Genomic DNA, 23009 nt, shown 5'->3' with positions numbered 1-23009 from the left:
ATCTGCTCTGGTTTTTTTAATTAATTAATTAATTTATTTATTTATTTTTGAGACAGGGTTTTGCTCTGTTGTCCAGGCTGGAGTGCAGTGGTGCAATCTTTGCTCACTGCAGCCTCCACCTCCCAGGCTCAAGCAATCCTCCCACCTCAACCTCCTGAGTAGCTGGGACTACAGGTGCATAGCACCACGTCGGGCTAATTTTTGTATTTTTAGTGGAGATGGGGTTTTACAATGTTGCCCAGGCTGGTCTTGAACTCCTGGGCTCAAGTGAGCTGCCCACCTCAGCCTCCCAAAGTGCCGGGATTACAGGTGTGAGCCACTGCACCTGGCTATGTTCTGTTTATTTCAAGGCACTTTCTAGCAACTGTAAGACAATACGATACAGCACCCAAACTTGAATGCAAGCATCACTTCAGAAATAGGATTATATGGCATATAAAATGAAAGAGAATAGGATTTATAGAGTCCCTATTGTGTACCTAGCTCAGAGGGAAGCCCCTAGTTTTGTCACACAGTTTCAGCAAGCTCCCAGAACACTTTCTGGCTTAAGGAGTGGTCTGCATGGGCCACAACCAGGAGAAAGAAGGATTAAAGCAGACATCCAAGCTAATCTCACATCAAATGAGAGTACTGCATAAGTACATTAGAGCTTAGCTTTAATAAGTCCTATTTATTGCATGAATTTTGACATGGATCAGTTGACAAGTCTCCAGATATAACAGGTATATGAATAAAATAGGCTGGGTTTTTTAAAATTAGGTTTTAAACCTGTTACGAATAATCTCCATAAATTCTCAACTGCGTCACCTTTGCTTCCTTCCAGTACCATTGTGATTGCCATTTTAGGCAGATTTCATTATGCTTTAAACTTAAGGCAAAAGTTTACAACTCAGCTTTGGTGTGTCCATTCTTGCTGTCCTAGCCCCTCAAAATATTGCATATTATGCATTATATGTAAAGATGTGATTGCTAGAATTAAATTACTACCATATTTGTAGGAATTTATATTGTCTTCCTTGTTAAGTGAGAACCACTTGATTGTGTGAAACCTGCAAGCAACATCCAAATCAACACATTTTTTGTTAACCCCAAATCTTACAGATATTTTAACTGAAGTCCTAAATTCTTTTAAATTGTCTATATTTCAGTGGAAACCATGAACAAATTAACATTTTTTTCTTAATTAGCTGTTTTACTTGATTACTAGGTTTCATCATGCCAAATAAATAATGGGGCCAGGGCAATGAATTAAATGGTCACATAGCCCTGGGAGAAAGCTGGGATATCTTAAGGGTGATTTTGAATCTCATATCTTATTTGCTTACATTGGAGAATGTAAAAAGTGGTTAAGAATTTTCTGTAAGGGTTGTATGATGGATACTTACAGATGCAAATGGATTGAAACAATCCATTAACAATAATGTCTGAAGTTAAGGAAAGATCATCATTTATATCATGAAAAACATGAATAAACACTGAGAAAATAGTTTCACCTTGTAATTTTAAAAAGGGCTTTGAAGATGTTTGTAGCTTTGGCAGTGTTCCAGAAGCAGCAGATCAGAGTGATCCAGTGGAGCAGAGTGATCCCGCTTAATATAGAATGCTGCAGCCCTGAAGTCTCATGAAAGCCATGATATTGTCTGGAGCAACCAAATGTGTGGTTAATACACATGGGCCCAGCCTTCCACTGGGAGATACTTGTCAAGATTTCCTTAGAAATGAGTTGTACTGCTGGGAGGAGTGGCTCACGCCTGTGATCCCCGCACTTTGAGAGGCTAAGGTGGGCAGATGGCTTGAGCCCAGGAGTTTGAGACCAGTCTGGCCAACATAGCAAGACCCCATTTCTACTAAAACACAAAAAATTAGCTGGGTGTGGTGGCATGCACCAGTAGTCCCTGCTATTTGGGAGGCTAAGGTGAGAAAATCACCTAAGCCCGTGAGGTCAAGGTTGCAGTGAGCTGTGATTTTACCACTGCACTCCAGCCTGGGTGACAGAGTGAGACTCTGCCTCAAAAAAAAAAAAAAAAAAAGAGAGAGAGAAATGAGTTGTGCATCTAAAAAGAACACATCAAACAATACAAATATTAACAATATTTTCTTTTGTTTTTCTCTTTACCTACATTGAGACAAAGTTTTTACAATACACAATTAAGCACCTATTCTAGTGTGTTAGATTGTTGGCAATATTTTAAAAACCAGTACTGGAGCTAGTCCAATTATTTCTGATTAGCTCTTTCTTTGTGCCTCTGCTAGGGAAAAACAATGGGTATCTCCAAACATTTGACTAGTGGTAGTTAAGCATAATAGGGTCTAGAAGGATTATAGGAAAACAAATGATAGGAAACACTTCATTAAACTATCTAGATAGCTAGAGATGCTCAAGCTTCATTCATTCAAAAAATATTTATTAAGCACCTGCTTTATGACAGGCATTGTTTTATTTGCTTATTTGTCTTGAGATAGGGTCTCACCCTGTCACCCAGGCTGCTGAAGTTCAGTGGTACGATCTTGGCTCACTGCAACCTCTGCCTCCCAGGCTCAAGTGATCCTCCCACCTTAGCCACCTAAGTAGCTAGGACTACAGACACGTGCTGCCATCCTCAGCTAATTTTTAAACTTTCTGTAGAGACGAGGTCTCAAACTCCTGGGCTCAAATGATCCTCTGGCTTCTGCCTCCCAAAGTGCTGGGACTACGGGGATGAGCCACCACATACAACCCAAGCGCTGTTTTAGGAATGTGACTCTGGTGATTTAAAAAATGTCTTTGCCCTCAGGAACTTAACATTTTGATGTGTATCACAGGCAATAAAACACGTACGTACATTATTTTTGAGTGATGCTAAATGCTAGAAAGACTGATAAAGCATGGCAAGGGAATCATGAGTAATGGTGTGATGGGATGAGATGATATTTTAGGGCAAGAGCTTTCTGAGGAGGTGACATTTAAGCAGACTACTGAGTGATATAAGAGTGAGCTTCACAAAAATTTGAGGAAAAGTACTTCAGACAGAATAAAAAGCAAAAAACAAACAAAAACTAAAAAATATCTTGAGAAGCAAATGTATTGAAGCTGTTTTTAGTATAGTACAGAGGCAGGTTTTGCTAAAACGAACTAGAGAGAAGTTGGAAGTCAGAGAAGTAGACAAAGACTAGATGATTGCAGGCTTTGCAGACTATGAAAAAGTCCTTGAGTTTCACTCTAGTGCAACAGAAAGTTATTAGAGGGTTTTTGACAGGAGTAGGACATAATTTCATATATGAAGGCTTTAAAAGGCAAAAGTGGAGTGAGAGAGACCAGTTAGGGGAGGGATGGTGGCTCCGATCTAGCTGTGGTAGCATCAGATATGGTAAGAAGCTGTAGAATATTGCAAATATTTTGGGAGTGGATTTGAAAAGAGTTGCTGATGGCTTAAGTGTAGAGAGTAATTAAAACAAAAAGAAGAGCCAGGAATGATCCCAACATTTTGGCCTTGAGCATATGAATGAACGGGGTGTCATTTACTGGAATATAGATAGCAGTCAAGGCAAATGAGAGAGCAAAGGTTTCTAAGAGAAAAGCAGAGTACTGCCTGATGATATAAATATATATAAAAACTCAATAAGAAATGTCAAAATTTTAGGAGCTGCAACATAAAGATCATATTTATACAAATGTCATGAGACTTTAATATTATTCATGTTTCTAGAAGGGGGATAAGTTTGGGCAGAGATGCTTTAACTTTTCCTTTTTATACATTTCAATGCCTGTTCAAGCTTTTAAAAATTTTGTTCATGTGTCACTTTCATTTAAAAATGTCTTAATGTAGCAATAACAAGGTAATAAGAATTAATAGTTAAATGAGAGATGTTATATAAACAGATAGGATTGTTACCCTGTTTATGAATTACTCTTATTTTAAAATTTAATATACCAATTACAAGGTAGTAAGAATTTTAATAAGTTAAATGAGAGATCCTATAAAAGCAGATAAAATGAAAAGTCAACTGCATTTACCTGCTTTACCGGTTTTAAAACTATCCAACCTCTAAACACTTTCATGAGCCTTACAAGAAGACAAGTGTGTCTTCAGAGCTCCCTTCTAACTTTATATTTGACATAAACTCCGACTTGTTCCTTAGTTTAAAGTTTGCTTTCTTTTCCCAGCTATGCTTTACACAGCTCCACTTGTAGTATGATATGCCCTGCCTCAGGCTCTAAAATGGTTTATACACATCTCTCTCAAAAGCATTTGTCATCTGTCCCTAATCCAGTGACTGCTACAGACCCAAACCAGTTGGCCTTGATCAGCTCAATGAGGCCTGTTTGTTTGCTCTTTGGAACTAGGTAGCAAATACAAGGGTATTCCAACTTGCCATATTACCTGATGCCTTCAACATGAAATCAGTTAGCACAGTGGCTGTAATGAAGTCACTCTTTCTGTTTAGATAAGGGAGTAGCCAAAGCTCTCAAGGACATTTTCACAGACTCCTATAGAGAAGGGATTAGGGTCTCTATTAATATACTCAGTCCTGGGATTCCTGGAACATGGGCTATTCTACTGATTTTTTTCCCCTCACATTCTTCCAATGAGTTACCCTTCATCTCCCCATACTGGGGTCTTATTTCAAGGGTGTTTACTAGCTCACTTATAATGTCAACTTGCTATTTTTAAAGATGTGATTATCAAATCATTAATTCATTTTAATGTCAGCTTTATTGAAGGGTAATTTTAAATGTACAATTCAGTGAGTCTTGACAAATGTATACAGCTGTGTAACTCCCATCATAGTAAAGAAATAGAACAATTCCATCACCCCAAAGGGTTTCTTCATTGCCCCTTTGTAGTTAATCCTCTCTCCCTAATCCACACACACCCAGATTCTGGCGACTGCTGATCTATCTGTTGCTATAGTTTTGCCTTTTCTACAACTTCATGTAAATGGAATCATATAGAGTTTTGTGGATGGCTTCTTTACCTTCACATAATAATTTTGAGATTCATCCCTGTCTTGTGTGTATATGTAGTTTGTTCCTTTTTATTGCTGTGTAGTATTTCGTTGTATGACTATCCCACATTTTGTTCATCCATTCACCAGTTGATTGATGTTTGTTTATAGTTTACACAAATTTGCTTATGAGTTTTTGTGTGAATTAAGAAGTAGGATTGCAGGGTTGGGTTTAAATCTACCATCTTATTATTTATTTTCTATTTCTCCCATCTGTTTCCTGTTCCTTTTTTGGCCTATTTTCCTGCATTCTTCTGGTTTAATTATATTTAGTATTTCATTTTGTCTCCACTATTAGTTTATTAGCTTTAGCTCTTTGTTTTATTTTTTTCTTGGTTTCTCCAAGGACCTACAATATACTTTTGTTGAGACAAGGTCTTGCTCTGTTGCCCAGGCTGGAGTGCAGTGGTGAGATCATGGCTCACTATAGCCTCAAACTCCTGGGCTCAGGCTATCCTCCCACCTCCCAAGTAGATGGGACTATGGGTGTGCACAAGCACACCTGCCTAATTATTAATTTTTTGTAGAGATGGGTCTCACTTTGTTGTCTAGGCTGGTCTTCAACTCCCAGGCTCAAGCAATCCTTCCAGCTCTGCCTCCCAAAGTGCTAAGATTACAGGCATGAGGCACCATACAGTATTCATTCAAATAATATAATATTGCTTCACACATAATATTAAAAAAGATAACAATATTCTTCCATTTCCCATCATCTTTTGTGCTATTTTTGTCCTATGCAATACTTTACATGTATTATAAACACTACAATGAATCATTATTATTTTTGCTTTAGCCAATCATCTTTAATTAGGTTTAAAAGAATTTCCAGCCAGGCACAGTGACATGCACCTGTAATCATAGCTACTCAGGAGGCTGAGGTGGAGGATTGCTTGAGCCCAAGAGTTTGAGATCAGCCTGGGCAATATAGTCAGACCCCATCTCAATAATATCCCATTATTTTAACCATTGCTTGGATCAGGGAGGCATTATTCTTTGTGTAGAACCAAATTTCCATCTGGTATCATTTTCTTCTTGCCTGATAAACTTCCTCTAATGTCTTTTCTATAAGGTGGGTCTGCTGGTAGTAAGGTGGCTTGGCTTTTATTCCCTAAAAATGTCTTTATTTCTCCTCCATTTTGTTTTCTTTAAGAGACAAGGTCTTACTTTATGCTCAGGCTGGACTCACACTCCTGGGCTCAAGCAGTCCTCCAACCTCAGCCTCCCAAGTAGCTGGGGCTACAGGTGTGTGCCACTATGCCTGGCTCATCTTCATTTTGAAAGACGTTTTCATTTAGTATCAGTCCTAGGTTGGCAGGTTTTATTTTGTTTTTGTTATTTTCCTTTTCAGTACTTTAAGGTTGCTGTTCCATGTCTTCTGGCTTACATAGTTTCTGACAAGAAGTCTGTTGTTATTCTTATCTTTGTACCCCTGTATTTTTTTTCACTCAGGCTGCCTTTAAGATTTTTGTCTTCATCAACAGCTTTCAGCAGTACATTTATTTATTTATTATTTAATTTTAGATTCATGGGGTACATGTGCAGATTTGTTACAACTGTCTGTTGTGTGATGCTGAGAGTTGGGCTTCTATTGATCCTATCACCCAAATAATAAGCATAGTATCCATTAGGAAGTTTTTCAATCCTTTCTCCCTCCCTGGCTCCCTGTTTTTGGAGCCCCCAGTGTCTATCATTCCCATCCTCATGTCTGTTGTACCCAATGAGTAGTTCCTGCTTATAAGTGAGAATATGCAATATTTGGTTTTTGTTTTTGTGTTAATTCACTAAGGATAATCCATTCTACTTGCCTTTTTATGGCTGTGTAGTTTTCCATAGTGTATATCTACCACACTTTTTTTATCCAATCTACCATTGATGGGCATCTAGGTTGATTCATGTCATTGCTAGCATAAATAGTGCATATGTAATAGTGTATATCATAAATATACAACTACAGTTGTCTTTTTGGTAGAATAGTTTATTTTCCTTTGGATATATACCCAGTAATAGGATTGCTAAGCCAAATCATATTTCTAATTTTAGTCTTTTGAGAATATCTAAACTGTTTTCCATAGAGATTTAACTAACTTACACTCTCACCAACAGTGCATAAGCATTCCCTTTTCTCCAAATCCATGCCAAAATTTATTTTTTTTTGACATTTTAATAATAGCCATTCTGACTGGTGTGAGATGGTATCTCACTGTAGTTTTAATTTGCATTTCTCTGATGATTAATGATATTCAGCATTTTGCATGTTTGTTGGCTGCTTGTAAGTCTTCTTTTGAGAATTGTCTGTTCATGTCCTTTGCCCAGTTTTGTTTCGTTTTTTTTTTTTTGAGATGAAGTCTTGCTCTGTCACCCAGATTGGAGTGTAGTGGAGCAATCTTGGCTCACTGCAAGCTCCATCACCCACATTCAAGCGATTCTCCTGCCTTAGCCTCCGGAATAGCTGGGACTGCAGGTGTGCACCATCACACCCAGCTAATTTTTGTATTTTTAGTAGAGATGGGGTTTTGCTATGTTGGCCAGGCTGGTCTCGAACTCCTGGCTTCAAGTGATCCACCCACTTCAGCCTCCCAAAGTGGTGGGATTACAGGCATGAGCCACTGTGCTCAGCCCTTTGCCTAGTTTTAATGGAGCTGTTTTTTTTTTTTTTTTTCTCTCTTGTTGGTTTGTTTAAGTTACTTATTGATTCTGGACATTAGTCCTTTGTCAAATATATGCTTTGCAAATATTTTCTCCCATTCTGTAGGCTGTCTGTTTACTCTGTTGATAGCTTCTTTTGCTGTGTATATATTATTCTCTCTCTTTTTTGAGACAGGGTCTCACTTTGTTGCCCAGGCTGGAGTGCAGTGGTGAGATGCTGGCCCACTGCAGCCTCAAGCTCCTAGGCTCAGTGATCCTTTCACCTCAGCCCCCTTAGTAGTTGGGACTGCAGACACATGCCACCATGCCTAGCTAATTTTTAAATTTTTTTTATAGATAGGGTCTCATTATGTTGCCCAGGCTGATCTTGAACTCCTGGCCTTAAGTAATCCTCTTGCCTTGGCCTCCCAAAATGATGGGATTAGAGGTGTGAGCCGCCATGCCTGGCCTGCACATATTCTTTAGTTTAATTAGGTTCCAATTATCATTTTTTGTTTTATTGCATTTGCTTTTGGGGTCAGGATCATAAATTCTTTACTTAGACTGATGTCCAGAAGAGTATTTTCTGTGTTTTCTTCTAAAATTTTTATACTTTAAGGTCTTACATTTAAGTCTTTAATCCATCTTGAGTTAATTTTTGTATATGATGAAAGATAGGGGTTCAGTATTGTCCTTCTGTTTATGACTAGCCAGTTTCCCCAGCACCATTTTGTGAATAGAGTCCCTTTTTCGCATTGTTTATTTTTGTCAAATCTGTTGAAGATCATTTGGTTGTAGGTGTGTGGCTTTATTTCTGGATTTTCTATTGTGTTCCATTGATCTATGTGTCTATTTTTGTACTAGTGCCATGCTATTTTAGTTATTATAGCCCTGTGGTATAATTTGAAGAGGAGCAATGTAATGCCTCCAGATTTGTTCTTTTTGCTTAGGATTGCTTTGGCTATTCGGGCTCCATTTGGTTTCCAAATTTAGGGTTGTTTTTTCCTACTTCTGTGAAAAATGACACTGGCATTTTGATAGGAATTGCATTGAATCTGTAGACTGCTTTGTGCAATATGGACATTTTAATGATATTGATTCTTCCAACCCATCAGCATCAGATATTATTCCATTTGTTTGTGTCATCTACAATTTCTTTCATCAGTGTTTTGTAGTTCTCCTTGTAGAGATCTTTCATCTCCTTGGTGAGACATATTTCTATGTATTTTATTTTTTGTGTTTGGCTATTGCAAATGGGATTGTATTCATGATTTGGCAGTTAACTTGAATATTATTGCTGTGTAAAATGCTAATGATTTTTTTTTGTTGATTTTGTATACTGAGACTTTACTGAAGTTGTTTATCAAGTCTAGGGGTCTTTTAAATAAGTCTTTAGGGTTTTCTAAGTACAGAATCATATCATCAGTGAAGACAGATAATTTGACTTCTTCTTTTCCAATTTGGATACCTTTTCTTTCTTTCTGTTGCCTGATTACTTTGGCTAGGACTTCCAGTACTATGTTGAATGGGAAATCCTTGTCTTGTTCCAGTTCTCAGGGCAAATGCTTCCAGCTTTCACCCATTAAGTATGATGTTGGCTGTGAGTTTGAACTGGGTTTGAATAACAAGACCCATATGTCTTGTTATTTTGAAGTATGCTCCTTCAATGCCTAGTTTGTTGAGCTATTATCATGAAGAGATAGTGGATTTTATTGAATGCTTTTTCTGCATCTATTGAGATGATCATATGTTTTTTGTTTTTAATTCTGTTTTTAATACACATCTATTGATTTGTATATGTTGAAACAACTTTGCATCCCAGGAATAAAGCCCACTTGATTGTAGTGAATTAACTTTTTGGTGTGCTGCTGGATTTGCTTTGCTAGTATTTTGTTGAGGATATTTGCATCTGTGTTCAGCAGGGATATTGGGCTGTAGTTTTCTTTTTGTTGTGTCTTTGCCACATTTTGGTATTGACTAGGTTTGCAGAAGGAGTTAGGGAGGAATCCTTCTTCCTCAATTTTTTGGAATAGTTTCAGTAGGACTGGTACCAGCTCTTCTTTGTATATCTGGTAGAATTTGGCTGTGCACCCATCTGGTCCAGGGCTTTTTTTGATTGGTTGGTTTTTTATTACTGATTCAATTTTGGAACTCAGGATTGGTCTCTTCGGGGTTTCAATTTCTTCCTTTTTCAAATTTGGGAGGTAGTGTGTTTCCAGGAATTTATCCATTTCCTCTAGATTTTTTAGTTTCTGTGCATAGAGGTGTTCATCATAGTCTCTGAGGATGTTTTGTATTTCTGTGGGATTGGTTGTGATGTCACCTTTGTTGTATCTGATTCAGCAATGCATTTATGATGTGCTTTGGAGGGGTTTATCTCTATTTTGCTTGGGGCGTGTTGATAATTTTGTTTCAAAGATTTATATTTTTCATTACATTTGGAAAAATTTCAGCCAATGCTTCTACAAATAGTTTTTCTGTGCTTCTCTTCCCATTTGGGACCCCCATCTAAATGTATATTGGAATACTGATACTGGCTTTCGCGTCATGATGCTCTGTTCATTTTTTTTCTAATTTTTTTTCTCAGTTTTTCATTTTGGATAGTTTTTATTCCTGTGTCTTCAAGTTAACTGACTTTTCTGAAGTGTGTAATCTGCAGTTAATCACATCCAGTGTATTTTTAATTTCAGATATTGTGTTTTTAATCTCCAGAGGTTTTTTTTAATCTTCTGTGTGTCTTCCATTTCTCTCTGCATCATATTCTTGTTTTCTTTTACTTTCTTGAGCATAGAGACCATATAGCAGCTCTTTTAATGTCCTTATCTCCTAATACTATCATCTCTATAATTTCTAGGTCTGTTTCTATTGATTGAGTGTTCTCCTAGCTATGGGTCATATTTTCCTGCTTCTTTGTAAGCCTAGTAAATTTTGCTTGGCTGCTGAAGATTGTGAATTTTACACTGTTGGGTGCTATATTTCGTTGTACTCCTGTAAATCATATAGAAATTTGAGAATAGTTAATTTACTTGGAAGTAGTTTGATTCTTTCAAGCTTGCTTTCAACTTTGTTAAGATACATACAGAGCAGCCTTTATTCTAAGTCTAAGTTGTCTCCACTATTAAGGTGATCTCTTCCTGAGGATTCTACCCAATGACTGTGTAACGAAAGGTTTTTTCACTCTGGCTGTTGGGAACACAAACTATTCCTAGCTCTATGAGAACCCCGGGAATTGTTTGGTTCACTGTTTTCTGATAGTTTTTTCCCCAAGCTATGAGTCAGTAGTTTCTTCACATACATGTGCAGATCAGTTCTCAGCTAGAAAGTTCAGGAAAGCCTTCTTCCAATCTCTGATGGCTGCTCTCCCTCTGTGCAGCTGACCCCTATCTTACAAAATTAACTGCTTTAGCCTCTCAGAACTCTGATCTCTGCCTCCTCAATGCATTGATCTCTCTGGGCTCTGTTTGGGTTTCACCTCCCTGTGCTGTGGTTTTGGAAAATACCTCCAGACATTAAGATAGGGCAATTATAAACCTTGCCTTTTTGTTTTTCTTCGATCAGGGAAAACAGTGCTACATTGCCAGTTATTCAGTGTCTAAAAAGGCATAATGTTATATACACTGTCCAGTTTTTAATTGTTTAAAGTGGAAGACAAATTTGGCCCCTGATATTTCACCATAGCAGAAGTAAAAGTCCCATTAATACTTATATTGGTATAACATAATAATTCAATATTCAATAGAAGTAATTTATTTACAAGTCATGTGGAAAAGAAAAAAACTGCAATAATCAAAACACAAAACAGGTCTTTATACTATTCATGCAACTCTGACAAATTCAAATACACAAACATGTACACATATACATGGCCCTTACGCATTTTATGGTGTTGAAATAGCTATTTGTGGGTCCCTCTCAGTAACTAAAAAATAAAAATCAAAGACTAAAAAGGAAAGTATTAATAAAAATAAGTAAAGAAAAAAATTAAAGATAATGGTTTCTTAACTCTGCGAGTGGTCAACAATTTTTTAATATGACCAAATTGCAGTTTTTACTTCAGTAGTTCTAATCTCCAGAACACTATGCCATAGCATCAAACTTGATCCCTCTACCCCCTTTTTTTGGTCACGTGGTGTCTAAGTCCAATCCTGCTTCTATAATGAAATACCTTAGACTGAGTAATTTATACATAATAGAAATTTATTTCTCATAGTTCTGGAGACTGGGAAGTCCAAGATCAAGGGTGCAGCAGATGCTGCATCTGGAGATGGCTTGTACCTTCTTGTGTGTCCTCTCATAGTGGAAGGGGCAAAAGGGACAAACAGCTTCCTCATACCTCTTTTATAAGGTCTCTAATCCCATTCATCACTGTATCACCTCCTAAAGGCCCCATATTTTAATACTATCATATCAGTGATTAAGTTTCAACATATGAATTTTAGGCACATTCAGACCATAGCAGTTAACTAGATTATTTCTCAGCCTCCTTTGAAGTTAGGTGTACACCTAACTTCAAAGTTAGGTGATGCAACTACATTTTTTCAAAATTAGGTGATGCGACTAAATTTTTGCCAATGGAAATAAGCAGAAGAGATGGGTGACACCACCAAGTCTGGCCCATAAAAACCTCCAATTCACAATCCACTACACTTTCAGTTTTTACTGAAACTATTTTGACACCCTTGAAAATCACATATTGAAGATGACAATGCCACGATAAGGAAAGAACTGAAGGACCACTTGTACTAAAGCTGCTCACTTATCAGAAATTCCTGTGATTTGAATTGAGGAAGAAATTAAAAGCAAAAAACCATTATGTGAAAACCACTGATGTGGGGGAATTTGTCTGGTACTTTAGCAAACAGTATTAATTCTTCAACACAGTTTTCTTTTCTCCCAAACTCTTAGTAATTTTTCAACCACTCACACAAATGAGACATAGTTAAAAACCAAAAAGATTTGTATTTTTCTTTTTATTTGTGTTTCTTTACGAGACTGATGCTGGGAACATTTAATGTGATACGGCAGTGCAGGGCAAAGTTATAGGCATGGGCTTAGGAGTTAATCAGACCTTTGTTTGAGTGCCTGCTCGACCACATACTAACAGTGTGACCAAAATATAGTTTTCTTATCTGTACAATCAGAATATCAATTCCTACATTAGAAGTTTTTATAAGGCTTGCATAAGATACCATTTAATGTACTTTGCTTAGTTCCTGACCCAGTAGGAATAAATAGCAACAAGTACTATTACTCCATCTCCTACATATGTTATTGATGCAATCCACTTAATAGTTTTAAAAACATGCTATTATACCTCTAAAGCAACATCTCTGAAGAGTAATGGTAGTTTTAACATTTTTTATTAATCATTTCTTCCTGAAGATATACCAGAATATTTTCTACACAGATTACATTAGTAAATTTTGATAAACTGTTAACAAAGTAAAAATAAATTCTTCTTTCTATACAAATCTCTCAATTTTAAAACAAAGAGGAAAACTCAGAGGAGGTATTCATAGTCCTGTGTTTTGCAATCTGACTTGTAGTTCACTGCAGAGGATTACTGAGGCCCAAATGACTCACCTAATCTTGTCAGAGAATAGATAACCAGAGTGAGGAAATGTTCTCTGTGTTTTCACCTTTAGGCTATAACGCTACTAATGAGTCTTATCTTACAAATTGTCAGAGAGGCTAGTTATTAAGGTTAAAGTCCTATGGAATGTTGAAAAACTTCAGATTATAGTCAAACGATGCTAGTAATTTTTCCAAACTATTTCTCCAACTGAGCGTTACATGACTGAGTCTAGACTTCCATTCCTGCATTAAAAAAGAATTTTTAAAATAGTCAAGCATATCATTCTGCTCCTGTTAATCAAAAAGTAAAATGCTAGTTTCATTTTCAGCACCAGAACCATTCCTCTGTGACTTGAGGAGGGATCCAATTCTAGGCTAATGAACTAAACACTAGAGTAATTATTTCAACCTCTTTCTCTTGTAGACTCTACTCTGCACAGAACAACTTGAAAGAAAACTGCAGCTGTATTCTTAGCACACATATGTGCACCTCTATGTTTTTACATGTTGCTATAAAGTTTTTATCTAGCTATTACTTGGGCCTTGCAAATGAAAAACAACTTAGTTACAGAAGTTACAAAATAAACAAATTGCACCAGAAAGAAAATGCTGATTTGGAAAATATATGGTATGAAGCAAAGCATAAGTTTAGGATGTGGCTTTTGGGGTAGTGGTTGGGGGCAGGAAAGTTGGGAGTGGGAGGAGAAAGGGAGAAAGAATAGGAATGAATTATAAAGGCACCACATCTTGAAAATCTGTGACCGAAGAAAAGTAAGAGCATGCTAAGATTATATCCTTGATATTGAACACAATATCATTATTACTCTCATGTGAAGAGACTGAAATGCTAAAGTAATCAACTAGTGATTCTAGAAATTTATGTAATTTGGATGCCTTTGTGGTGCATAATAATTAGCAAGGCTGAATAAGAGTCTACCCTAATTTATGTAGATATTCCCCTCCCCCAAATAATTGTGGGAATTATTTGAATAAATTAGCAGTTAAATAGAAGACATTTAAATTTTCATAGTTACATTTTTTTATTAGACTAGCTATCTATGTTTAACTATCAGTTAATCAGTTATATGTGTTTATAATTTTATAAAGGAGTTCAGAAAGGTGAATATAAGGTTTAAAAACCACAAATCCATCATGGGGCCAACCAACCATAGAGAACGTTACTGTTTAGTGGCAAGGAAACAGAAAATTTTTTCATTCTACTTTTTCAGATATTACAATGATTAAACAATTCTATTGACTAACTCTAATTGTTTTAACTTCTGCTTTATACTGCCAAGCAATGTTTTTGCTTTGAACTCCTGTTATTGGGAGAGGGGATCTAAATGTTTCAAAATCTAAGAAAAGGCCTTAATTTGATTTAATTTTTTAAGAAGATAAAGATGAGAGTAATTAGAGCTAATGAGGTTCCAGTTTATAAATATTATTGTGTTAGAGGAATAACAGCTTTAGGAAAACATAAACATCCTAGTTTGTATTCCCAAGGAGTTCTGTTTTGTATTTTTATTTTTTGAGACAAGGTCTCGCTCTGTTGCCCAAGCTGGAGTGCAATGACTGGATCATAGTTCAATGTAACTCAAACTCCCAGTCTCAAATGATGCTCCATCCTTGGGCTTCCAAGGTGCTGGGATTAGCAGGCTGAGCCACAGTGCACAGCCTAATTTTTTGATTCACATTTATCTAGTCTTCATTTCCAAATATTAGTCTTTAAGAGGCCATAAAGTAAAGGAAATAACTAGCTTTTCACCTAAATTAGACTTCAGAATGCTAACAATGAAAGAACAAGTTTCATATCAAAACTCGCTCATCAATAGCAGGGAACCAATATCTTGAAATAACTATAAAAGGAATTAAATCACAGGTTATTGAAATTAGAATGCTGTTTCAAATATACTTGATCAATTAACCACTTGAATGCACATCTCCCAAGTGTAAAAATTTTAATTTGAAAACTCAAAAGCTTATATGGTAATCAAATGTAGAAATAAAAATGGCAAAGTATGTGAGAAATACTTGAGACTTGTTTAAGGAGAAAAACCTGAATGTAATATTTCCATTTGAGACTAAGAGCAAAATCAAGATATAGACAAACAGATGAAATATTTTAGAGGCAGAACATTATGAATAGTGAAAAAATAACCTTTTCCTTGAAAATGGACTACAATTAAGAGCTAAAAATCCTAAATTGTTTCCACATTTTAGTAGACTTAAGCAGATCACAACAGATCAGTACTAAAACTACACTTCTAGAGTGTTAATTATATGACTAAATTGACATATAAGTGTCAGTTGCTGAGCTCCTAAGTGTTTAAGTTGATCACTTGAAAATTGAAGTTCAAGGTCATTTTTCATGTGCGCATCTGAGACCTGTAATTTAGAATAGTGAGTTATAGTATAAGGTGCTAAAAATAATGTCTTTAAGGGGATAGTAATGTCATAGTCTCCCAATTTTCCTCATGAGAAAGTTCAAGAATCTGAAAAAATAACCTCTATTCCCCATGGCATACATAGATGAAGTATTGTATTAGTCAGGGTTCTCCAAAGAAACAGAACCGATAGAATGTATATGTATATAGAAAGAGACTTATTATAAGGAGTTGCTTCACAAGATTATGGAGGCTGACAAGTCCCAACATCTGCAGGGTGAGATGGCAAGCTGGAGACCCAGGAGAGTTGATGCTGTAGTTCCAGTTTGAGTCCAAAAGCCTGAGAACCAAAAAAGCTGATGGTGTCATCCAATCTGAAGACTGAGAGGCTGGAGGAACAGAAAGAACTGATGTTTCATTTTGAAGATAGGTATGCAGAAAATTTTCCTACTAAGGAGAGGGTCAGTCTTTTGTTATATTCAACTGATTGGATGAAGCCCACTCACATTAGGGAGGGTTAATTTGCTTTACACAATCTACCGATTTAAACTAATCTCACCCCAAAACATCCTGACAGACACACACAGAGTAATGTCTGATCAAATATCTGGGCACCCTGTGGCCCAGTCAAGTTGACACATAAAATCAGCCATAACAAGTATGATGACTGGAGTAACTGATCACACTTTCTCCACTCAGATGTCCATTGCATTGAAGCAGTAGCAGTAGCACAGGTGGAGGGAGGAGTTACAACATGGTCTAAGTTGTCAAACTACCTGTGTTTGAATCCTGTCTCCTTAACTTATTCCTGGTGATCTTGGACAAGTTTTTGCTACATGTTTCTGATTCTTGATTAGTAAATTACGGATAACGATGGGTCCTACCTCATACTATTATTAATGTTGTGAAGAATAAATAAGACATTACATATAAACCACCTAGAAGAATAACTAGCACATAGAATGGATTCCCCAATAACGCATTATAGTACACAAAATTCATTGAAATGAAATTCTTTTCAAAAATCATTGCTTCAACATATTTTCCTGCCTTTAAAAATCATTGCTTCAAAATAATAAGAACCATGTATGACAAACCCATAGCCAATATCCTACTGGATGGTGAAAAGTTGAAAGCACTCCCTCTAAGAACCAGAATAAGACAAGAATGTTCACTCTCACCACACCTATTCAACACAGTACTGAAAGTCCTAGCCAGAGCAATCAGGCAAAAGAAAGAAAGAAAGAAATAATATCCAAATTGGAAAAGAGGAAGTCAAATTATATGTTTGCTGATGACATGACCGTATACCTAGAAAACCCTAAAGGCTTCTCCAAAAGACTCCTAGACTTAATATATGACATCAATAAAGTTTCAGAACACAAAATTAATATCCAAAAATCGGAAGCATTTCTGTAAACGAATAACTTTCGACCTGAGAACAAAATCAGTAACTCAATCTCATTTACAATGGACACACACACACACTCAATAAAATACCTAGGAATACATTTAACCAAGGAGGTGAAAGATCTCTACAAGGAGAACTACAAAATGCTGATAAAAGAAATCATAGATGACACAAACAGATGAAAAAACATCCCATGTTCATGGCTTGAAAGAATTGATATTGTTAAAAGGACCATACTGCTCAAAGCAGTGTGCAGAGTCAATGCAATCCCTAATAAAATACCAATGTCATTTTTCACAGAATTAGAAAAAAAAACCCTAAAGCTCATGAAGAACCAAAAAAAGGCCTGAATACCCAAAGCAATCCTAAGCAAAAATAACAAAGCTGGAAGCATCACATTGTTCCTCTTCAAATTACACTACAAGGCTATAATTATTACAACAGCATATTACTGGTACAAAAATAGACCTATAGATCAATGAAACAAAATAGAGAACACAGAAATAAAGCCACTTACCTACAACCAACTGATCTTTGATAAAGTCAACAAAAATAAACAATGGGGAAATGATAGCCTATTCAATAAATGATGTTGGGAAAATTGGCTAGCAATATGCAGAAGAATGAGATTGGACCCTTATCTCTCACCATATGCAAAAATTAACTCAAGGTGGATTAAAAAGTTAAATGTAAGACCCAAAATTATAAAAATCCTAGAAGAAAACCTGGAAAGAACTCTCGTGGACATTGACCTAGGGAAAGAATTTATGATGAAATTTCCCAAAAGCCAATGAAACAAAAACAAGAATAGACTAATTGGACTTAAACTAAAAAGCTTTTGCACATTTGGGAGGCTGAGGCAGGCAGATCACGAGGTCAGGAAATTGAGACCATCCTGGCTAACACAGTGAAACCCCGTCTCTACTGAAAATACAAAAAATTATCTGGGTGTGGCAGTGGGCGCCTGTAGTCCCAGCTACTCAGGAGGCTGAGGCAGGAGAATGGCATGAACTCGGGAAGCAGAGCTTGCAGTGAGCCGAGATCACACCACTGCACTCCAGCCTGGGCGACAGAGCGAGACTCTGTCTCAAAAAAAAAAAAAAAAGCTTTTCACAGCAAAAGAAATAATCAACAGAGTAAATGGACAACCTACAGAATGAGAGAAAATATTTACAAATTATGCTTCTAACAATAGACTAATATCCAAAAATCTACAAGGAACTCAAACCACTCAACAAGAAAAAAGCAAACAACCCCATTAAAAAATGGGCAAAAGACAGGAACAGACATTTCTCAAAAGAAGACTACAAGTGACCACCAACTGCATGAAAAAATGCTGAACATCACTAATGATCAGAGAAATATAAATTAAAATCGCAAATGAGATACCATTTCACATTAGTCAGCATGGCCATTATTAAAAAGTCAAAAAATAATAGATGTTGGTGTAGATGTGGACAAAAGGTAATGCTTATACATTGTTGGTGGGAATGTAAGTTAGTTAAATCTCTATGGAAAACAGTTTGGAGTTTCTCAAAGGACTAAAAATAGAGCTACCATTTGACACAGCAATCTCACTGCTGGGTATCTATTCAAAGGAAAAGAAATTATTCGTTCCAGCCTTCCCTTCTCCTCTCCATGTAAGAAAAGCTATGTATTTGGAAAACTGGATTTTGGGTTTTGCTTATATCAAGTCAGGCAAATGTGCAAGAGGAGGGAGAGAAAGAAAGGAAGTGGGGGAAAAACAAAATTTTTTGAGCTGAGTATCCGGGTTGAGTGAGTCGTGGGGAAACGAAGGTCTAGAGGATCTGCAAAGTGTAGGGGTACTACCTGGAGTAGGCTGGCCTGTTCTTCACACTACATCTCATCTCTTCCTGCTTTAGGCTCCCCTCCTGCTTTATCCTACTGCCTTTGATTTTGCTGAAGTGTGAGTTCAAACTTTAGTGCCTTGCTGTACTTGCATTTGTCCCCTCATTTCTTTGAACAGACTTACAGCTAGATTCCCTCCTGGCTTGGTACAGTCACTGATCTCTGTTATTTAATGAACCATCTCTGGTATGTCTTCAGAAATGACCTTCCTCCTATGACCCCCCACCCCAATAATGCTAGCAGCCTGAGCTGGGAGTGGAGCACCCAGGCCTCACCTCCCAAGCCCTGGCCTCAGGTGTGCTGGGTGTTAGAGTAAGAACAAAGCTTAGTTGATGTTAATTACTTGATAAGTTTGTACAATAACGATATCTTATATGTATTGTTACCTGTGGCTTACATTTACAATTATTTTCTGATATCTTACTATAAGACAAATAGCGTTTAGGATGATTAAAGGTGAGAGAAGCTGAAGGGCAAAATATTAGTCAAGTGGTCAATTACAAAGGCTTATAATAGGAATGGCTCCAAATGGAAATTGGTGTGTCAGAAAGATACCTATAAAGAAAACGAGCAAGGTCTGGTAACCACAAAGATAAGGGGGGAGGCAAAATAGTACTGTGAGGTTTTAATAAAAATCTCACAAAACCTGTTGTAAGATTTTACAAGGTGTAATGGCAGGACAGTGGCATAACTGTGGAATATGATGGCAGAGGGTGGTAGATTTGGTAGAGACTAAAACTGATTCAACAAAATTTGTGTTTGCCATGGTCAGTTTGACCCAATGATGGTAATATGTTGCAAAATTGGGTCTATGTTGGAAGTAGAAAAGAAGATAAGCAGATTTATTTGATTATCTTTCTAAATATTCTCTGAAACCACAGGATGAGAATGTTCCTTCAGTAGAGAAAAATGAAAACACTATAGTTGCTTCAATGCTATGCCTCTGAAGAGATGGCCAAACAATTCTGATTTATGGAGAGCTACATAAAATCTTTTTTAAAAAGATACCATGTTTTCTAAAATTCCAACAAAGGCAAGAAAGCAAAATAAACTTTAGCTGACCTTTTGCAAGAACTATCATTAAAAGAGGTTTCCGGAGTTAGTTGAGGGCAGTTTGTTTATATGAGGGAAATGGCCATGGATTATCACCTACTGTGTGAGTAAATGTCTATTTTTTATTCAGATTTCAGAAATAAACTGTTGCTCATGCCTAATAATGTCTTCTATGAGGTTTAACAATCTAGGTTAGGGAGAGGATCAATTTCACAAGCTAAGAAAAATCAAATGTTATGCCAAGTCAGGACAGATCCTTCTGAAGTGTTGATATTGATTCTACGGATTACAGGACTAACTTGCATGCTAAATAAGGTAGAATCTTTCAGAGTTTCAGTCTTGCACTCAGATTCTAGTGTTTTCTGATGGTAACACATTTGGAAGGGAGAGTCAAGTTGCTGGGTTTAGCTTTGACTTATTCCTTTGCATGATCTTTGAAGTTCATAAAGGGATATCTATTTTAAAAGATTTTCAAAATGACATTTATTACGTGTGTCTGTGTGCAAGGCTTTATGTTGGGTGCTTTTGCTAAAGGAGTAAAGGTTTTAAAAATACCATTCTTTTACAGTGTAAACAGGAAAGATTTTGAGTGGGTGGATTAGTCAGCGGACAGAACAGGGGAAAGCATTTGGGGATGAAGACTTATTATGGAAGTACAAAGTGAGAGAAATGACATTTCTTGGCTCTGTTCCCAGGATTGTTTGCTGGACGCAGTTTGCATGTGAAACGGGCAGCATTCACACCCAAAAGTACCACCTTCTAATCAACCGGTAGTGCTTTTAAGTTTACGTGTGTTAGTGTTTCAAAAATCAAAATTCCAAAGGGCTTTATTAACCTTTGATACACTTGTCAAAGGCAAACATAAAAAAAAAAAAGCAATCCCGAAGAGCCTCACCATTTTCCTTCCTGTTATCTATGTAAGATGAATATGCTTTTCCAAAAGCAAATCAGTAACTTTTTCTTACGTTGTTTTGAAGACTAACATGGCTCACTCTCAATTATCAAATCTGTCCTGAAATAATTATCAGTGAGTCATGAAATGACCTTCTTAAACTGAGTCTATGTCACTTGATCTGTGTTTCCAAAGTGTAAGGTTAATTTTCCATGTCCTTGAACCTTAGTCATGTTAAGTTAGGCTACAGAAAAAATGGGGAAAACAAATGAAATCCTCTACATAATCCTAGAGATGCTTACAAGACTCAGAGGTTTCAAGGATGGTATGAAAATCATTGCAAACTTGTTTACATTAAAATTCCCAGTAAAAATTTGGAATTGCAGTAACTGAGGAAAACAGGAAAGGCGGGATTTTGTAGACACTTAACCTCCTTTGTAGCTTTCAATGGCAGAGTATCAGAAGAAATAACACAGGTCATGTGTCAAGAATTTTAAGAAGAATGTTTTTAACATTAAAATTTAATGTATTATCTACAATTGCTAGATAAGATTACTCCTACTGTGGTAACTGGCAAGAAACAATGTGAGTAGAGGCGTGAGGAAAATTGGAATATAAGAGAGAACTGACAAGTTTACAATATTAAAAATGATATTAGGGTGGGCATGGTGGCTCACGCCTGTAATTCCAGCACTTTGGGAGGCTGAGGTGGGCAGATCACTTGAGGTCAGGAGTTTGAGACCAGCCTGGCCAACATGGTGAAACCCTGTCTCTACTAAAAATACAAAAATTAGCCAGGTGTGGTGGCGGGCACCTGTAATCCCAGCTACTCAGGAGGCTGAGGCAGGAAAACTGCTTGAACCCTGGAGGTGGAGGTTGCAGTGAACCAAGATCACATCATTGCACACCAGCCTGGGTGACTTTGTCTCAAAAAAAGAAAAAGAAAAGAAAAGAAAAGAAAAATATTAGTGAGGACAAAAATGTCCACTTTAACACAAGGGAAAACATTTTCTGTGTCTAAAGGAAATAAAAATGAAATGGCTTCCCCAGATCAAAAAGCCTAGACAAATGATTCAAGCTAAGCCCTGATCCTACTTCTGAATTCCAACTCAGGCATAGCTTAAGAGTTACAGTAACTCTTCTAAATTCATCAGAGGAGAGAGTTGAAACATGTTAAGGCTTTGATTTAAGAAGCTTTTCAATTTTAAAATTTATAGTTTTAATATAAACTATATTATATATATATATAGTTAAGTAACTGTTCATGGAATTGGTTTTTCAAGAAAATATTTATTCTTTATTAATAAGTTAGAAGTCACCATGAATCAGACCATCATTCTGAAATATTGCCAACCAGCATGTTTCTTTTCCTTCCTTCCTTCCTTCCTTCCTTCCTTCCTTCCTTCCTTCCTTTCTTTCCTTCTTTCTTTCTTCTTTCTCTTTCTTTCTTTTTCTTTCTTTCCTTTCTTTCTTCCTTCCTTCCTTCCTTTTTCTTTCTTTCTTTCTGACTCTATGTTAATCTTCTCTGCATCGTTCAAATTTTAGTGTATGTGCTGTCCAAGGCCTCCTTCTCAAACTTATGTGGGAGAAGGCAATCAGGGAGGGGCCGGACAGCCTCGTCCTCACTTGCATGGTTGCACGGAATTACGAAGAGCTGAGTGCACTCCTCCTGCTGCCCTGGGCTGCCATGACCAAGTCCTGTATTCCTTATATGGATGCCAGTAGTGTGCTCCTCAAAGGTCTGTGCTCCGTGGTATTGCGCCAGCTCAGCGTTGGCTGTTCTCTAGGGAAAAAATTGTGAAACTTCATAAACCTGAGTTAGGATTAGAGACTACAGATGCCAAGTCATAGTTCATGGTTGAGTGCCGACAGTAAACACCCAAGAAAGCGTGTATCAGGATGAAGGACATCTTACTGATTCGAATTTCCAGTGTCAGAAAGGTGAAGTTTTCCCTCCCAACCCCTCATACTCGTTAAAGAGTAACCCCCCATCCCTTGAAAAGAAATGAACTGTTAAGCAACGATGATTTGAAATTCAGATGGGAAAGTTTCTGGAATAAGGTTAAAAAAAATCCACCTTCACAAACAAAAAAGAAATAAAGCATTTAAATCAATGATAAATGAAAATATAATTTGGGATGAAGAAAATCATAGGATATGAAAATAGGGAAAGAAACACTGAAATATTAGAAAAATACAGAATATAGCAAAGAGA

The 23009-nt window shown here is 36.8% G+C and overlaps 1 annotated feature.

The window, feature by feature from the left end:
- Positions 20405-20699: a silencer, noted in NCBI's record as "tiled region #14184; HepG2 Repressive DNase unmatched - State 5:Enh". NCBI's record gives its function as "represses a minimal TATA promoter and a strong SV40 promoter by Sharpr-MPRA in HepG2 cells {active_cell/tissue: HepG2}" and the evidence as "EXISTENCE:reporter gene assay evidence [ECO:0000049][PMID:27701403]".

Source organism: Homo sapiens, chromosome 4 (assembly GCF_000001405.40).
Source record: "Homo sapiens chromosome 4, GRCh38.p14 Primary Assembly".
Taxonomy (NCBI): Eukaryota; Metazoa; Chordata; class Mammalia; order Primates; family Hominidae; genus Homo; species Homo sapiens.
This window is presented reverse-complemented; position numbering and strand designations above follow the sequence as displayed.